Source organism: Homo sapiens, chromosome 2, assembly GCF_000001405.40.
Source record: "Homo sapiens chromosome 2, GRCh38.p14 Primary Assembly".
Lineage (NCBI taxonomy): Eukaryota > Metazoa > Chordata > Mammalia > Primates > Hominidae > Homo > Homo sapiens.
The window spans coordinates 239,707,803-239,726,899 of record NC_000002.12 but is presented as its reverse complement, the minus strand read 5'-3'; the positions used below and the strand labels follow the sequence as shown (position 1 = coordinate 239,726,899).

General features: G+C 50.7%; 2 annotated features.

Moving 5' to 3' along the window:
- Window positions 2,626-3,191: an enhancer, noted in NCBI's record as "H3K4me1 hESC enhancer chr2:240645403-240645968 (GRCh37/hg19 assembly coordinates)". NCBI's record gives its function as "activates a minimal SCP1, AML or CMV promoter by ChIP-STARR-seq in naive H9 embryonic stem cells {active_cell/tissue: H9 hESC(naive)}" and the evidence as "EXISTENCE:reporter gene assay evidence [ECO:0000049][PMID:30033119]".
- Window positions 3,192-3,757: an enhancer, noted in NCBI's record as "H3K4me1 hESC enhancer chr2:240644837-240645402 (GRCh37/hg19 assembly coordinates)". NCBI's record gives its function as "activates a minimal SCP1, AML or CMV promoter by ChIP-STARR-seq in naive H9 embryonic stem cells {active_cell/tissue: H9 hESC(naive)}" and the evidence as "EXISTENCE:reporter gene assay evidence [ECO:0000049][PMID:30033119]".

The following is a 19,097-nucleotide window of genomic DNA, read 5'->3' as shown; positions in this document are numbered from 1 at the left end:
AGGCCTTGGCCACCCGCTATGCCTGAACACCAGCAGCTGTACCCTGGGGCCTGCCACCCCTGCTACTCTGGGCATGTTCATCACATGCTTGACCATAGCAAGGCCTCGACACCCAAGGGCTCAATCCTGCAGGTTCAGAGGCTGGACCTCTTCCCACAGATTGAGAGCCAGGCCCTGTCTTTCAGGTCAGCCTCATCAGCCAAACTCAGGAGACTGACGTACAGGCTTGGAAGGCCATGGTGCTGATGTGGGCGCAGAATTACAGCAGACCATGGGTGGGACTTCAGATGGGAGTCACTTCCATGGAGAAGCTTCCCATCGCTGTGGTGGAGCCAGGTGTCCCTGAGACCTCCCTTACCTCACGGGCAGGCCACATCGCAGGGAGCTGCATTACTGTCTTCTGATGTCCGCCCAGCTGATGGGGGTCGCAGTGGGGCTGTGTTGTCCTCACGGGCTTGTGTCCGGGTCTGCACAGCCCTGATCTCAGCTGTGGGCCCTGAGCCTGCCAAGAGATGAGCAAGTGCCTCCGTGTTCCCTGGGGAAGAGGTGCTGGAGGGCCCGTCTCCAAGAGCACCCTCCCCACACTAGCCGCAGGCGGGCTCTTCACATTCCTCATTCCCAAGCTGAGCACCGCCCCTCCGACAGGCCGAGTCTTTCTTTAAACACAACTGTTCCTCTTTGCTCAGGCTCCGGAACAGGCTTGCGGGCTCGTCTGCAATTTACTGTCACCTACAGGGGCAGATTCACCCAGTCCCTGAGTCCTGGGCACAGTGCTGCCCTCTGGGTGAACAGTTGACCCAGAGGAGCGGACGGGAGTGCCCCTGCAGGGGTGTGGCCCCCATGTCTGAGAGGCCTTTTGCAGGGCTCAGTTTGTGAGGTCAAATGCTCAGCTCTCACCCCAGGGTGAGGAGGATTCCCTGGAGCCAGCTGGAAGAGCACCCATCATAGAACAGGCAGCAGAGTCACGGTAGCTTAGGGACCCAGGAAGAAGACCCTTCCACACCAGGGCTGTCCACCAGGCAGGTGAACCCAACAAGGACCTAGGCATATGACCCCTTCCAGGACCCAAACAAGTAACCCCACCCAGGCCCAGGCTGGAGGCTGCATCCAGACTCAGGTGGCCCCATCCAGGTCTCAGACAAGTGACCTCCTCCAGACCCAGGCAGGTTACCCCATCTGGGACCCAGGCAGTGGTCCATGAAGTCATCCACACCAGGCACCACAAAGGTGCAAATGGCCGGTCCACACGCACGCCGGTGCTGGCAGGATCTTGTCACCTGATGGCCCACATAGTGGGCAGGACTCCGGCGCTCTGGCCAGCATGGACGCCACTCCTCCCTCACTCACCTTCTCCCTCCTGAAGCTGCACCAGGGTGGAGGCAGCTGTAGCCACAGGACGAAGAGGGCCTGCTGGGTGCTGGCACCCCGTAGCTGGGGCTAACATTCCTGTAATTAGCATGAGGAGAGGCCCCAGCTGCTCCGGAGCGCTGAAGGCAGGGATGGATGTAGCCTAATTGCCAGCTCCCTACACCTCCCAGGACTGCCCTCTATGCTCAGGGTCTGTGTGATGTGGCAACTCAGATGGCCCCACAAGGGTAGAGGTGTCCCTTCCCTCCTCAGGCTCCCCTGGTGCCCACTGCCCAGTCACTCCCATCAGCCTGTTTGAGGCAACCTGCTCCCCATTCTAGAGCCTCTGGGTAAATGAGCGCCTCTCCCAGGAAGGCTCCTGCAGTCTCATCTGGACTCAGGGCGGAACTGCAGGTAGGTTTCTGCATGGCACCTGTGGGCACAATCGACTGACTGTAACTGCCCAGGGCTGTTGACCTGCTGTAAACTCGGGGCCTCCTCCTGTCTCTGCCTTGTCTCCACCTGCATCAGCCTCTCCTGGCAGCGGGGAGACAGGCGTCGGGTGCCCACACAATTGGCAGGAGGGGGAGGAGCAGAAGCACTGGGATCCGAGGGCAGAAAGGCACAGATCGAGACATTCCCAGGTATGGCTGGGAAACAGTGGGCCAACCCCACATTCCCCAGGTAGGCTAAGTCAGCGATGCATTAACAAGGGGAAAATGAGCGTCATGACCTCCTACAGAGCACCCCACTCCAGAAAACTCCTACGGGTGGGTGGGAAGATGCCAATTAACCCAACCTCTCAATGGCTCCTTTTAGCCAAGTCCCTGCAGGCAAACACCTGCAGATGCCCACCTGGCTCCTGGGGAGAAAATTCCCTGCTGAGTCCCGTCCTTGGCCCCGGGATTCTCAGGGCAACAAGGTCTCCTTCCAACAGAGTGGGGACACAGCGGCAGCTCAGCCTTCCCGAGGCTTAAACTCGGCCAAGAGGAGCTCCTGGGGAGAGGCTCAGAGAAGCCAAGATAGGCGGGGTGAGTTTTCTCGGCACGGCCTCCCGGAGCAGCTGGCTAAGGAGAGACAGGGTTTGCAGGGCCCGGCCCAGCCCAGCATGGCAGAGCAGAGCAAAGCACGGGCAAGAGCTGAGGACCAAGCGCCCAAGAAGTGGCACAATAGCTTAGGGACCCAAGAAGAAGACCCATCCACACCAGGACTATCCACCAGGCAGGTGAAGCCAACAAGGACCTAGGCATGTGACCCCTTCCAGGACCCAAACAGGTGACTGCAGATGCTGCTCAGCTGGCGACTGAGCTCGCTCACACACACTCACACACCCTCATGCAAGCTCATGCAGTTATGCACACTCACACACGTACACTCGCACATGCTCACACACATGCATGCTCACATACATGCACACGTGCACACACAGCTCACACACTTATGCATGCTCACATGCATGTTTACGCACATGCACACACATGCTCACACACTTATGCACACTCATGCAGTCCTGGACACTCACACAAGTACACTCACAATGCTCACACACACGCTTACACTTATGCACACTCACATGCACACACATGCACACACATGCTCACACATGCACACTCATGCAGTCAAGCACACTCACACGTACACTCACAATGCTCACACACACTCACATGCACTCTCACACATGCACACACACATGCTCATACACTTATGCACGCTCATGCGCACACACAGTCACACACACACTTGCTCACTCGCATGATCACACACACATGCTCACTCACACACAGCTGCACAAGCAAGGGCCTGGTGCCTAGGGCAAGAGCAATCAGGAGGTGGGCAGTGGCCCCTCAGTGTTCTGGGCAGGACAACTTGGAAGAGCCACAGAGGAGCCTGGAGTTGGAGGTCTAGAGGTCCCAGTGTTGCACCTGACAGCTGGTGACCCTGGGGCAAGGCACTGCAGTTCCCAAGTCCCAGGGCAGCTGGGACTCATCCAGGGGAGTGTGCTACAGCCTCATGCCCTTGAGTCCTCTGCCACCTTTAATGTCCCCTGAAAGCAGTTTCCACAAGTACAGTAGAGGGCAGGGCGTTTCCTAAGGCATGCAAATCACAGGGTGCAAGAGGTACCACTGTGGAGCTGGCAGTTGGCCCTGGAAAGCAGGCCTGACATCCTCACGAAAGCCTTGTCCTGGGCCCAGCAGCCGCTCCCAGGGCCTTCAGGCTGTGCGTGCTTCTCTGGGCCCCCAGTGGGACCTGCAAGGCAAACGCATCCCTGCACTGCAGTTCTAGGACAGAGCAGGAGGCTTTCTGGACACACAAGTCCCAGCCCTTGAGAAGAGACCTCCAGCTTGGAAGTGTCCATGTGTCCCTCCTTTCCCTTCCATGTATTAGAGACATGGGCCACAATCTGTCCACTTTGCTGCGCCCGCCTTCTCCACCTGCCCCTCGTCTGTGCTGGCCACCGTCCCTGTCCACCTTCTGCCAGCTGGAAAGCAGGAGGCCGTGCCTCTCCGATGCCCAGCCCCCACTCCATGGCCCTATCACACACCAGACAGGAGAATGACAGCCGTCTTCCCCCATGTGCCAGCCCTTCAGCGCCCCTCCCCACCCCTCAATGCCCCAGTGTCCAGGTATTTCTCATGGGAGGGCATGGTGTCACCTCAGCTGGACTTTGGCCATCCCCACTGGGCCGAGTGCTGTCATGCACATGGAGCTGCTGCCCTCTCTGGGGCCTGCCTGATGATGTGGGCAGGCGGGTCACCCCCCGAGGCTCAGGTACCACCTGAGTGGGGCCGGGTCACTCAGCCCACAGAGATGCACCATCACTGACCACATCTCCTGCAGGGCCAGGTGTGTCCTCTGCTACAGCCAACACCCGGACACTGAGGCCTGCAAGGACCCTCAGGCCACCACCCTTAGCTGTGGGGTTGAGCATGGAACTCCCCCTGCACCTCAAGGCCGGGGCTGCCTCCCTCAGCTGTGGGAAACAAGGAGGCAGCTGGATGGGGAGACCTCCCCAGGCTGTGGAGCCCTCCAGAGCTCCAGGACCCCACCTGAATGGTGTGGGGTGCAGCCATCAGCTTCGAAGGCCAGTAGTCCATCCCAAATTCCAGCTCCATCCATCCCCAGTTGCGTGACTGTGGGCGGGTGCTGGACTCCTCTGAGACGGATCTCCTGACGGGCTGTTGACAGCTCCAGGCATCCACACAAGGTGCAGCGTGTGGCCCGGTGCTGCCGGGCTCTCATCCTGCCTGCCTATCCCGGGAGCAGGGCCCTCTGGCCCTGTGGAGCTGTGACAGACCAGATGGCTCCACAGGCGCTTTCCGCACCTCTCAGGCTGTGGGGACGTCTCTCTGCCTCTGTGGTCTCAGTCCAGGGTCCCATGCTTCAGACATCTCCTGGACCACCCATTTCCTGTCCTGCAGGGCAGCCCCAACACGTCCAAGCCCCCAGCCCCCACCTGTATATCCAGGAGCAGGCTCCAGAATCCAGGTGTCCCCGGAGCGACTCACTCTCTCTAGGCCTCAGTTTCTGTAACACTGGGGATTTGGACTACGTCACCTCTCAGGCCCTTTCTGGAGTGGAAATCCTCTCCGGTGCTGATGAGACGAAAAGCTTCACGTGCCCCTCTGAACAGTATTCTTTTCGATATAAATTAATCAAAAGAATAAATGAGATGAGGTTGCTGGGGCGGATCCTCATCTTAGGTTAGACTCTGAGGCGCGAGGTTTGTGAATCGTTGATCACACCAGGGCCTGGGTGGGGCAGGGAGAATGGGGCTGCTGCGTCACAGTGACAGAGGCCTCTGAAATCCGGTGAGGGTGCATTGGGGTTGCCCCAGCCCAATGTGGGGGTGGCTCTGGGTCCATCGCCGGCCAAGAGCTGCCCCCCAGGCAGGGGAGTAGCCTGGGGCAAGGCGACTTCACCTGACTGAAGGCAATTCCCAGAGACAACAGCTCCCCGGACATTACTGCAGAGCTCACTCCCTATCACAGGTCTCAGATGCAGGTGCTGAAGACCCAGAGTGGGTCCCTGGGACCCTGATGGGGCCTCTATTGAGAGCAGGAAGCTGCTACTCGGAAGAAAATGCCTCTCTGAAGGACTCACACACTGAGAATTATTTCCTGGAATTTTTCCACGATTGTTCTGCCCTTTCCTTGTCTCCACATAAAGGGAAAAAACCCAGAAATGACACCATCCCCACATGGGCCGAGGTTACTTTTTGAATCAATAACTGTGGGTCGGCCCCTCATCTAAGTCTGTTCCCTAGAGCAGAAGGAGGCCCCTGCCAGGGCAGGCCCTGCCTCTGCATCTCTTTGGCCATCTTGAATTCCTCTCGGGCCTGGGCCAGGCTCAGAGGCCCTTAGCTGGCACCAGGGTGCTCCAGAGGCCCTGCTCCCCAAGTCCAAGGCCATCTCCTGACACAAGGGAAGGGGCATGCCAGCTCTAAACCCGGCCACATTGTCATGGGGTCACCATTGGCTCATGTCCTAGCTCCCCTCCAAATCTCCCGATGCCAGCACCGCTGTTGCAGGCAGCCTCACACTGAGAGGGTCCACCCATGCCCCAGTTCCCCTCCAAACCTCCTGATGCCAGCACCGCTATTGCGGGCAGCCTCACAGCGAGAGGGTCTGCCCATGCCTCAGCTCCCCTCCAAGCCTCCCCAATGCCAGCACCACTGTTGCGGGCAGCCTCACATCGAGAGGGTCTGCCCATGCCCCAGCTCCCCTTCAAGCCTCCCCGATGCCAGCACCCATGTTGTGGGCAGCCTCACATCGAGAGGGTCTGACCTGCAGTTCTTCTGGGGACAGATTCCTTTTCTGAAATCCTGGATCAGGACTGAGACCAGGGCAGGAGTCCAATCTGAATGGAAACCCTGGCCGGGCCGGTGCGTTCTCCCTTCCAGAAGGCACTGGCGTGGGGCGAAGTCTAGGTTGAGGCACTGTGGTTTCACAGCTGAAATCCAACTCTGGAACCACTTTAAAGTGTCTAATGGGAACGGGATGGAAGGGATGCATGGCCCGGCTGCAAGGAGAGGAAGGGCCGTGGAGGCCGTGGCAGAGGAGCGGCTCCTTGTTCATCCTCCGACTCTACAGACCTGCCCAGCCAAGCCCTCCGGGCAGAAGGAGTCCAGCTCCGCCTGAGTGCATGTGCTTTGTTTGCTTTTGCTTATTTTTCCCAATCCAGACTCAACGAGCAAACCCCAAGGTGACTCCTGCCAGCTCAGGTTCAATCCTCCCATGTCCGTGGCTTCATGGTGTCCTCAGGACACCCCATGAGGTGAACAGTTTCATGTGGTTTATAGATGCAGGGGATGGCCACCCAACTGGACAGTCACCTGGATGGACGGACACCTGGATAGACGGTCACCCCGCCAGACAGTCACCTAGATGGTCACCTCGCTAGACAATCACCTGGCTGGGTGGACACCTGGATGGATGGTCAGCCAGCTAGACAGTCACCTGGATGGTCACCCATCTAGACAGTCACCTGGATGGATGGTCACCTAGATGGATGGTCACCTGGATGGACAGTCACCCGGCTGGATGGCCACCTGGATGGACGGTCACCTGGACGGATGGTCACCTGGATAGATGGTCACCTGGCTAGACAGTCACCTGGATGGATGTTCACCTGGATAGATGGTCACCTGGATGGATGGTCACCTGGATAGATGGTCACCCGGCTAGATAGTCACCTGGATGGATGGTCACCTGGATGGATGGTCACCTGGATAGATGGTCACCCAGCTAGATAGTCACCTGGATGGATGGTCACCTGGATGGACAGTCACCTGGACGGATGGTCACCTGGATAGATGGTCACCCAGCTAGACAGTCGCCTGGATGGATGTTTACCTGGATAGATGGTCACCCAGCTAGATAGTCACCTGGATGGATGGTCACCTGGACGGATGGTCACCTGGATGGACAGTCACCTGGACGGATGGTCACCTGGATAGATGGTAGCCTGGCTAGACAGTCACCTGGATGGATGGTCACCTGACAGACAGTCACCTGGATGGATGGTCATCTGGATGGATGGTCACCTGGATGGATGGTCACCTGGATGGATGGTCACATGGATAGATGGTCACCCGGCTATACAGTCACCTGGATGGATGTTCACCTGGATAGATGGTCACCCGGCTAGATAGTCACCTGGATGGATGGCCACCTGGATGGACAGTCACCTGGACGGATGGTCACCTGGATAGATAGTCACCCGGCTAGACAGTCACCTGGATGTATGTTCACCTGGATAGATGGTCACCCGGCTAGATAGTCACCTGGATGGATGGTCACCTGGATAGATGGTCACCCGGCTAGACAGTCACCTGGATATATGTTCACCTGGATAGATGGTCACCTGGCTAGATAGTCACCTGGATGGACAGTCACCTGGACAGATGGTCGCCTGGCTAGACAGTCACCTGGATGGATGTTCACCTGGATAGATGGTCACCCAGCTAGATAGTCACCTGGATGGATGGTCACCTGGATGGATGGTCACCTGGATGGACAGTCACCTGGACGGATGGTCACCTGGATTGATGGTCACATGACTAGACAGTCACCTGGATGGATGGTCACCTGGATAGATGGTCGCCTGGCTAGACAGTCACCTGGATGGATGGTTATCTGGATAGATGGTCACCCGGCTATACAGTCACCTGGATGGATGGTCACCTGGATAGATGGTCACCCGGCTAGACAGTCACCTGAATGGATTGTCAACCAGCTAGACCGTCACCTGGATGGATGGTCACCTGGATGGACAGTCACCTGGATGAATGGTCACCTGGCTAGACAGTCACCTGGATGGATGGTCACCTGGATAGATGGTCACCCGACTAGACAGTCACCTGGATGGATTGTCAACCAGCTAGACCGTCACCTGGATGGATGGTCACCTGGATGGACAGTCACCTGGATGAATGGGCACCCAGCTGGCTGCTCTGAGTACAGCTCTCACAAAACCTTTGCTTCCCCCCTCCAAGTTCACGACCTTTCCTCCACTCTTCCCTGCCCAAGCACTTCTAATTAATGTAACTTTGCCTAAGCTGAGATCCTGGGGTTCTTTCAGTACCTGTCCCAGGCAGTGGCAGGGCCAGGAGAAGGGAGATGGCTGAGTATAGGCAAATGTCTCTATGCCACACATATATCCATCCCGTTTTCCCAGCTGGAAGTCGCAAATCCTTTTCTTCCTGTTTTCAGATCTTCTGATGTGTCTTCAGATAGTGTGTGTAGTTCATGTAGTCATGTTTCTGTTTGGGAATTTTTTTTCCCTGGAAAATACTCAGGGCTCTGTCTTTAAATTGAGGGCATCTTAACGTCTTCGAAATGTGCTTTAGGGCTAGAAAGATTCCTGTTCAATCCTGGCCCTGCTGTTTACATCTGTGTGACCTCAGCAAATCATCTCACCTAGCTCAATCCTCTCCCACCTGTATTTTAATTTATGTGGAAAACAAAACATAACATCATCCAGAAAAGCCACCTTTCCTGTGGAGACAGCTGCCTTCCTCGGCCCCCTCGCGCCCTTGCCGGTGGTGCTGTGTGGCACGCCCTAACCCACGAAATGGTGGAGCCGCGGTGCCCGGTCTCACAGGCCCTGACGTCCTGGGGCCGCACACCTCACACAGCTCCCCAGGCATCAGTTCAGGCCTGCGCCTCTGGGAGGCAGTGAGAGAAGCCTGAGGGTCCGCAGCGATAGTCAGCTGGGCCCAGCTGCAAACATTCAGCATTGATCCTGCCTTGCCGCCCGCCCACCCGTGGCCCAGGACGAGTTGTTACCTGGCCCAGCTCGGTGTCCTTGCGCAGAACAGGATGCATCGCCCACGTCCTCAGGGGTCTGCTGTAGTGGTCAGAGGGTAGCACTGTACTGGCAACATCACAGCATGTCTAAATGTCAATTACTGCCATCATCATTCTTGTTTTTATTTGCTAGTGTTGATTAAAAGCTTGCAATCTGCCAGGCACTGCCACCCCCATCCATGGGCTGTCTCCGTGCTGAGAGATCTCAGTTTTACAGATGAGGAAACTGAGGTTCAGACAGCATAGGGCACCTGGGACGAGTCAGGGGCATGTGGGGAACCCATGAGTTCTGACTCAGAGCCCGTTCCTCACTCCAGGCCCTGACCACCAGCCCAGCTCAGGTGGAACTTGGGTGTGAGTTGAACTTCTCAGGTGCCTGGTGTGGAAGAGCCAGGATGTGGGCTTGAGGATGTGGGCTGTGCCTGCGTCTCCTTCTCCCTGAAAAGAAAAAAAATCCCAGAAAGCAAGACACTGGGCCCAGGGATGTCAAGTTCACGTGCTGCCAGAAACACTTCGGTGTGACTGTGAACGGCTGTGCCCCTTTCTTGCAGAGCAGCTGCCCTGCTTATGTGGCACCAAGAAAGTGAGAGAGAAGGTCTCTCTCTCAGCTCAGAACCACCACTTGGCAGGCCAGGCAGGCAGCTGTGATTCAAAACACACCCGTGGCTCTGGAAAGAAGAACTCCAAAGCCTGGGATGGCCTGGAGCAACACAAAGCCACTTGTGTGGTGTTTCCAATTCTCCTTTTAAAGCAATTATTAAGTTCATCTGAAAGTCAAATAAGAGCCACAAATCAAAAACAGAATTAACAAGTAACAGCGGGGCTGTGAAATTTGATCTGATGTGTTTTCAGGGAAGTGGGCGGAGTGCCCACTCACATCTGGTCAAGTTCAGCGTCACTGGAGGAACCGCTGGCCGGGGTCAAAACCTTCCGCATGACGGATCATGGAATTAGACGTGACATTCACAGGAACGACAGTGAGCCCTTGGCCAGTGAATGTCAGCTCTTTGCTTACGAAACTGTGATCCTTTCAGGAAAGCCAGACACAGGGTCCTCTAGGTTTGCCAGGCTTTGCAGGGCCTGTGTTCTAAGGCCCTTGAGAGGCTGGAACCTCCTTCTTCAACAAGCTCTCCCGTAGTGGTCGTCCAGCCCAGAGGGTTTTAGATCTCACACTGGTTGTTTGCTCCTCACTGAAACCCTGTTCACAAATTCCAACATTGCAGGGCCAGGTAGTAACTGGGGCAGGGAGCACTGAGAGTCCCCGGGAACTCCCCCAGTTCAGGTCCCCATGTCCCAAGAGAATAACATAAGATGGGCTCACATTTGTGCCCAGTGACCCCTTTGAGCAACACCCATTCCCTCTCGGCTTTGGTGTCTGTGCTGCTCTTGCTTTTAAGAAAAATGTTTCTACTCTTACGATTTTTCCCTCACTTTCCAAATGTTTTCTGTTATCCCCCCACACACGCACACCCTCACACATATGCACACACAAACACACACATACACACACACTCACATACATACACACATGCACACTGAACCAACATACACACGCATATACACGCACTCTCACACACATATACACACAGGCACACAGAAACACACACACACAAACACCCTCTCACACATATACACATACATGCATACAGAAATACACACATATACACACTCTCACACACATCTGCACACACACACACACAATCTCAAGGTGGGAGAGCAGCATCTAGACTCGGCCTGCCTGGTCCCCAGCACCAGCTCTGTGGTCACTCCCTGTGGAGAGACGGCACGGCCAGCAGGCACCACCCTCTGTCCGGCAACACAACAGCAGGCAAACTGTGCATGTGAGCAAATGTGTCCCGTACCCAGAATGCCCGCCAAGGTGAATACGAAACACCTGCAAAAAGCCAGCCCAGCGGGGCCTTCGCCCCTGGTCCAGGGGAGCAGAAGGGCCAACCTGAGGACCATTCTCGGGGACCTGCTCTGCTGTGGCCTCCTGGATCTGGCTTCCAGGGCTAGGAAACCTGGTGAAAAATCTCTGTGGGAGGATTGCGGGGCTGATGCTGGGCGAGTGCAGGGAAGGGAATGCAGAGGCCGGAGCCGGCTGGCATTACGGAGGCCGACTCTTCCCCAGCCTTTTGATTCCACGGCCCTGCAGCTCCTTTCAGAGTAAGATGCAGGACAGCCAGTGCTCCTGACTGTGAGCTGTGACCCAATATAGGCCTGCACCCCAGATGAGTGCTCAGGTGCTGCTTGTGTCCCCAACAAACACACTCTGCGCTGGGCACCCCCAGGACCAGGGAAGCACTGTTCACGGCAGTGCAAGCAGACTGCCCCGGCAGCTCCACATCTAGGGGAGAGGCAGGCAGCAAACCCGCAGATGAGCAAAGCAACAGTGTTGCCTCAGAACCAGTACCATGGAGAAACTGACGCCGGGAAGGGAGAGAGGGGCTGCTGGTGGGTCCACGGGGGCTACACTGTCTGACCAGGCGCCAGGCATAGTCTCTCTTCTGGGCTGGCAGGGGAGGGGCAGTGGCTGAGTGAGCCTGACAACGACCTGGGGGAGACCAGCAGCAGGGAGCACAGGAGCATGTCTGAGTGGCTGCCCCTGCCCCTGCGGGCCGACACTTAGATTCTGACTTTTTTTTTTTTTAGGTTGGAGTACAATGGCATGATCTCGGCTCACTGCAATCTCCGCCTCTGGGGTTCAAGCGATTCTCCTTCCTCAGCCTTCTGAGTAGCTGTGATTACAGGTGCGTGCCACCACACCCGGCTCATTTTTGTATTTTTAGTAGAGATGGGGTTTCACCACGTTGGCCAGGCTGATCTCAAACTCCTGACCTCAGATATCTGCCTGCCTCGGCCTCCCAAAGTGCTGGGATTACAGGCGTGAGCCACCGCGCCCAGCCTAGATTCTGACCTTTTAAGTGAAAGCATGCCGCCCAGCATCCTTAGAGCATCCTGCTTGCTTGCACCTTGGAGGGTCTGATGGGAGATTTTCTTCATTGATTTACCTTTCTTTGTGTTTCTTGTGTTGTGATATGCAGGATTTTTGTGTTTATGCAGTCAAACTTATTCATTATTTTCTTATTAGTTTTTCAACAATAGGATGAGATGAGGAACTTGCCTGTAGTTACTTCTAGTTGATGCATGTCCCCATTTTCACAGTGATCTCGGTAATTCACCTGGAAGGTATTTTGGGCTGGGATGTGAAGGAGAGCGCTTAGGTTTGGTTGACCAGACGTCCCAAAAGCATCCAGTATGAATTCTCTTTTGAGGCCGCCACCCCATTCCCACCATGTTGTTAGTGTCTCTGCAGTGGGTCTACTTTGGAAGCCCTGGCATTGTCATCTGCATCTACAGGCCCGGATCTGTGTTCTGGATCCAGGACCACCCCCCTGCTCTGCATTCTGGGTTCTGAGCCACCCCAGTGCTCTGAATTCTGGGTCCAGGGTCTCCCCTACTCTGAGCTCAAGGGAGCATCTCACATTTTCCTCCAAAGCAACGGAGTGCGGTCCACAGGCTGGCCCGGGCCACAGACCACCTGTTGGGGCCTGCCATGAGTTAAGTTTAATAATGTACACTGTTTAGAAACTTTGTTGTAGCAATTCAACTTTGTTGTACCATTTCTACTGAATTTTGCAAAAGTGTTGGTCCTCAGCAGATCGGAGGAAGAAACTAGTTCTTTGCCATGAGATCTTGGGAAGCCTGGTCTCCATCGCTGACACCATCTTCCTCTGCATTGAACCTGACCATGTCGGATACAGATGTTAATGCTGTCACTGCTCTTTTTCTTTAACTTGTCTTTATTTCATTTACTTCCTGCCTGACTTTGAAATGAAAGGGGAATGAGTTAATGGGAAGGCAATTTTTTTTTGTATTACATGGTCTTCTTTCTTGCCTTGTTTCAAAAACATTTAATATATGTGAACATTCAGCCTAGATATTTTCTCAAATTTCTTATTTCTGTACCTTTAACATTGATTCCCTTTTGTAAAGCAGTAAGAAAAAAGGTCCCAACAGTAAAAGAGCAGAGGACATGAATAAGCGGCCCTAAACATATCAAAGCAATTTTAATGTCACGAAAAGTTAAATAAACACAAAGTAACACACAAAAATGAATAATACTTTTTAAATCTATTCCATTGCTAGAAATAACTGGAAGACTGAATTCCTGCTCGTGAAGCAGCACTGAAGTGGGAACCCTCCTGCCCTGTGTAGACAGGGAAACGGACACAGCTTCCCAAGAGAAACTTGGCCACAGAAACCAAGGGCAGAGACAAGGTACAGGTTTTTGACCTGGCATTGCTGTTTTTAGAAATATGTGCTGAGAAAATAACCAAAGAAGCAGACACAACTTTAGTACAATAAAGTCCTCAGGGTCTAAGGCAGAATGGCCAAAACAACCACCCACAACAATCACAACCAAATCTGGGAAGAGCTTAAATGCCCCATCAAGAGACAGTTAAATCCAGCTGTACCAATTCCATGGACTAGTATACGGCCATTAAAAATCGTGTGAAGGGTTCAAGAAATGGGGAAATGTTCTTGACATATCAGCACCTCGCAGATAGTACAACAGTACATTCCCAGACACATTCACACACACACACACGTGCAAATACAGACAATGCCAGAAGGCTGAGAAATAGCACCTTCTTAATTTTTGCTCACTCAGAATATTTTCTAACTTCCATGTTAGGCTGATTTACCCTCAGTTATTCCTGGGGCTTGTCTCCGATAACACTCTTCCCTCTGTGATCACCTACCACGTACCTGGGGTTCTGCAGGTGTTTTGTCATGTCATCACATTTATTCAATTTCTAGGGACAAGGCAGCTGCTTCCCCCAAGACAACTGGAGATGCCCACTGCCCTTTGCTCTGTCTGCTGAGAGGACCAAGAGCAATGACACTGCAGTAGCAGTGAGCACACCCAGTGTTCAGATCTTGGTTTCTAACACCATCTCCAATTAAAAGAACCAGAGGGAGGCAGAGGTCAGAGGGGAGCAGCCACCTGTGACTTGAGCAAGGACCTGAGTGAAGTGGCCACAAGCCCAGAAGTGCAGAAGCTGCCAGAAAGAAGTGGAAAGAGGAAAGGAGCGGATTCCCCACGGATGCCTTCAGAAGGAGCCACCTTGACTTTAGCCCTGTGAGTCCCATTTCAAATTTCTTGCCTCTAGAAAGGTAAGAGAATAAATTGCTGTACTTCTAAGCCATTGGGTTCTGGGCATTTGTTAGAGCAGTGGCAGGGAAGTGCATGACCCACTCATGGTTGCCTCTGGCTCTCAGCTCCATGTGCTGAGTGACATGGGTGCAGTTTGCAGCCCCACTCAGGTTCTCCGGAGCACCATGCAGGGACCTCGACAGAGGCTCGTGGCCCAGGCTGCACCCCTGCTTTGGCTGGACACTGGGCACCCCTCCCTCTTAATGTGGGAGAATCCCACCCTGCACAGCACCCTGCAACCCCAGGCAGGCTCGGTGGTGGCTGCAGAGGCTCTCCCTTCCTTCTGGAACTTAGTGGGATGCACCCACATGTGTGCTCTGCACACACAGAGGAGCTGTCTCAAGCCAGCGGCCCCTCGCCTGAGCTCTCACCAGTGCTTTCCTGGCAGGACTTTGTGCCCCCTACCCCCACTGCCAACCATGGCGCCACACACTGTGGATAGGTAGACACTAATCCTTGTCAGGTCTTGGGGGGGGCACCCCTCACTCTGCTGTGGGGCAAGAGCCAGTGCACACCTTGGCCTTGAGACCTCTTGACAGATGTCTCCCAGATGCCGTTGTCACCTCTTCTATCCTGAGTGGCTACACCCTTGGTGTGCTGCATTGGCTGGGGGTCTCACACTCATCAGATTCAAGCCTGGGTATCTTCACATTCACCAACTTGCTGCAGTCACATTGTAGGAAATGGTTTGAAGCAGAAGCTATGGGGCCAGGAGGGCTGGAACGGGAACTGACTTGAGAAAATGGTATCCCTGGAGGACATGGGGAACATGCAGAGGAGGATAAGCTAACCAAGGGCCTCCCAGGTGCAGGACACAGATTCTGAGGAGAAAAGAGGAGGATGGGAGGCCGGAGGGCAGAGGGCAGACAGAGGAATGTATGACATGGGCCAGGGAGTGAGGCTGGGCCCAGGCCAGCCCAGATGGCCGTGCACAGATTTGTGTCTCCACCCAGAGAAGGGGGTGATGGGATCCACTGTGGATTGAAAGTCCACTATGAAGTGTAGGGAGCAGATTTGGGGTCGGTGACAGGGCCACAGGAGCCTAGTGAGGACGCCAATGCTATCACCCAGGCTGGGTGTTGGTGGCCAGGGACAAAGGAGGAGGAGGGGCTGGCAGGAGGCAGCAGACTGTGAGCTATCACAGGACAATGGGGAGGCCTGAAGGTTGAATGAAACTGAAGGGGGAGGAGGAGGGGCACTGAATGACCTCCCCAGGCTTCTGCTTGTATAACAGACTGGATGGGGTCGGGGAGGTTAGGAGGAGAAGTTTGCAAGTTGGGTTTGGGCAAAGTGAGTCTGCAATGCCTTTTAGACATTCAGGAAGATATGTCCAGGTCATTTGGCTGTTCTGGTCTAGAGCTCAGAGGAAGCACCTGAGCTGGAGGTCCAGGTGGGCCCCTGGCATGTGGGCATCACCTGGAGCTGTGGCCGTGGTGAGAGGTCACAGGTGTGAGCCCCAGGAGCTCCAGGACAGGAGGAAGGTCCTACAGAGCAGTCACAATGGAGGAGGAAAGGGAACACAAGCAAAGGAGCAGAAAACATCAAGGAGATGCCTTCAAGGACTATTGACCATGTAGGGATAAGAGATGCGAACTCACACACACTGGCTTGTAGGAGGCCAAGGAAACCCAAAAAACTCACAGAAGCAGATTCTGCCTGTGAAAACAAGGTGCCGTGTGCTGGGCTCTTTCTTTGAGATGAACAGAAGGCAGTCACAAAAGAGACTGTCTTAAGAGGAGGACAATTTGCAGAAGTGGCAGCTTTCCCCTAAACAAAGAAAAAGAAAAAAGATAATGAATTAGATTGAGCAGTAGCTAATAGAAGTTGATAACTGAATAAATAATATATTTATTATGTGCCTAGGTACTTAGATTACCTTATATTTTAATACCATATTGTGAATTTTCATTTAAAACAAAATAAAATTATTAGTAAAGAGTGATCTATTTTACTTTATTTTTTGTAATGCTAAACTAAGACATAATGAGAAAGGCATAATGGTTTGGATTATGTTTACATGTTCTTCAAAAATTAATATATTGCAAACACATTTAAGAATGGCATAATATATAGAAAATCCTAAGGAATCTACAAAAAACTGTTAGAACTAATATCACAGTGAGGCTGGAGAATAAAATATCAATTTACAAAAATCAATTGTAGACACCAGCAATAAACAATCTGAAAATAGAATTAACAAAACAAATCCATTTAAAATATTATAAAAAAGAATATATACTTAGGAAGAAATTTATCAAAGAAGTACCAAACTTATACTCTCACATACTCTGTAATCTGAATATTACAAAACTGTTTAAAGAAATGAAAAACATTCAAATAAATGGAAAGATATACCATGTTCATGGATCAGAAGACATATTATTGGCAAAATGACAGGGGTGGTTAGTCTTACATGTCAACTTAGCTAGCCTACAGTCCCTAGATATTCAATTAAATACTAACCTTGATGTTGCTGTGAAGGCATTTTAGATGTGACTGAGTTCCATAGTCAGTTGACTTTAAGTAATGGAGCATACACTAGATAATATGAATAGACCTGATCTGATCAGTTGAAAAGCTTTGACAGGAAAATTGAAGGTTCTCTGAAGAAGAAAAACTTTTGCCTATGGACAGCAGCTTCTGCTTGTGCCCAGAAGTCCTAGCCTCTTGTGATTGGCAACCTACTCTATGGATTTCAAACTTGCCTAGCCAGCCTTCAAAACTGCTAAGCTAATTCCTGCAAATAAACAAACATTCTGCTGATTCTTTCTCTGGTGGAACACTAACTGATACAATGGCAATATTCCCCAAATTGATCTACAGCTCTAATGCAATCCTTCTCAAAATCTCAGCTATTGACAGTACATAAACAACAAAAGATAGCATAGATAAATTGGACTCCAACAAAATGTAAAATTTTTGTTCTTCAAGAAATTTTGTGAATCAAAAAAATAAAAAGACAACGCACAGAATAGGAGAAAATATTTGCAAATCATACTTTGCATAGAGGACTTGCATCTAGAATATATAAAGAACTTTTGTAACTCAGTAATAAAAAGACAAATAACTCAAATAAAAAATGTGCAAAGAATTGATACACTTTTCTTCAAAGAAGATACACAAATGTGCAAGAGTAACCTGAGACGTGCAAATCAAAACTAGGAAGACACCACTTCATACCCACTAGGATACCTGTAATGGAAGAGATGGATAATAATAACTATTGGCAAGGATGTGAATAAATTGGAACCTTCATCCACCGATAGGGGAAATGTAAAATGGTGCAGCCATGTTGGAAAATAGCTCAGCGGTTTCTCAGATGGTTAAGCCTAGAGCTACTATACAGCATAGCAATTCCACACCTAGATATATACCCAAGAGAAAGGAAAACAGGTCCACAGAAGCCTGCACATGAATATTCATAGCAACACTGTTCAGCAGAGCCAGAAAGTGGAAGCAACCCACATGCCCGTCAACTTATGAATGGACACATTAAATGTGGTGTATACATAAAAAGAACAACCACTCAAGTGTTGTGCACACGGTAACAGGGATAGATCTTGAAAACATTATTTTAAATGAAAGCTTCCGGTCACAGAGGACCACATACCATATAGAGACAGAAAGTAACTTAGTGGCTGAGCCGGGGAGTTAGGGGAAATGGCAAGTTACTACTCATGGGCACAGGGGTCCTCTGAGCATGTGAAAATGTTCTAGAATTGACCGTGGTGATAATTGTACAACTCTCTAAATATGCTAATATATATGTTACTATAATATATAGTAATATATACTACTAATATGCTAATTTAGTATATATTAGTATATATACTAATACACATTATATAGTATACAATTTATATACCATATGTATATAAATGTATAGTATATAATTTATATACCATATGTATATAAATGTATAGTATATAATTTATATACTGTATGTAAAATTTATATTATATATAACTGTATATCATATATAGTTATATATTATAGTTACATAGTTATTTAACTATATAATATATATTATGTACTATAATATATAATTTATATATTATATAATTTATTTATTAGTATATAAAATTAGTATATATACTAATATATAAACTATTAATATATAAATATATAAATTATGTATTATATACATTTATATATTATATACTATATAAATTATATATAAGTATATATAAATTAGCATGTTAGTATATATTATATATTAATATATGCATAAAATATTTATATATTTTATTATATATTTATAACATATAAAATAATATAGATTATATACTAGTATATATAATATACGTTAGTATAAAATAATACATTATATATTGATGTATATATAAGTACATATATATTAGTATATATTTTTATCTATTTATAACATAAAATAATATATATTAGTATATAACATATATTAATAATACATATTACATATTAGTATATATAAATTAGTGCATTAGTAAATGTACTAAAACCACTGAATTGGATACTTTACGTGAGTGAATTGTACGATATATGAACATATCTCAATGAAGCTGCTATAAGGAAACCATGATTAACTGGTCCTATTCATCAGAAAGTCTCTGTGAGTTGAAAGAAGCAGATCTAAGGCTCCCCATGGCATAAAAAGAAAACACATTGAAAAGAACTCGGTTGTTTTCAGTGGAGACCTCAGCTAGAAACTAAAACTCTGTGAGAATGGATTGGCTTTTAGCTTC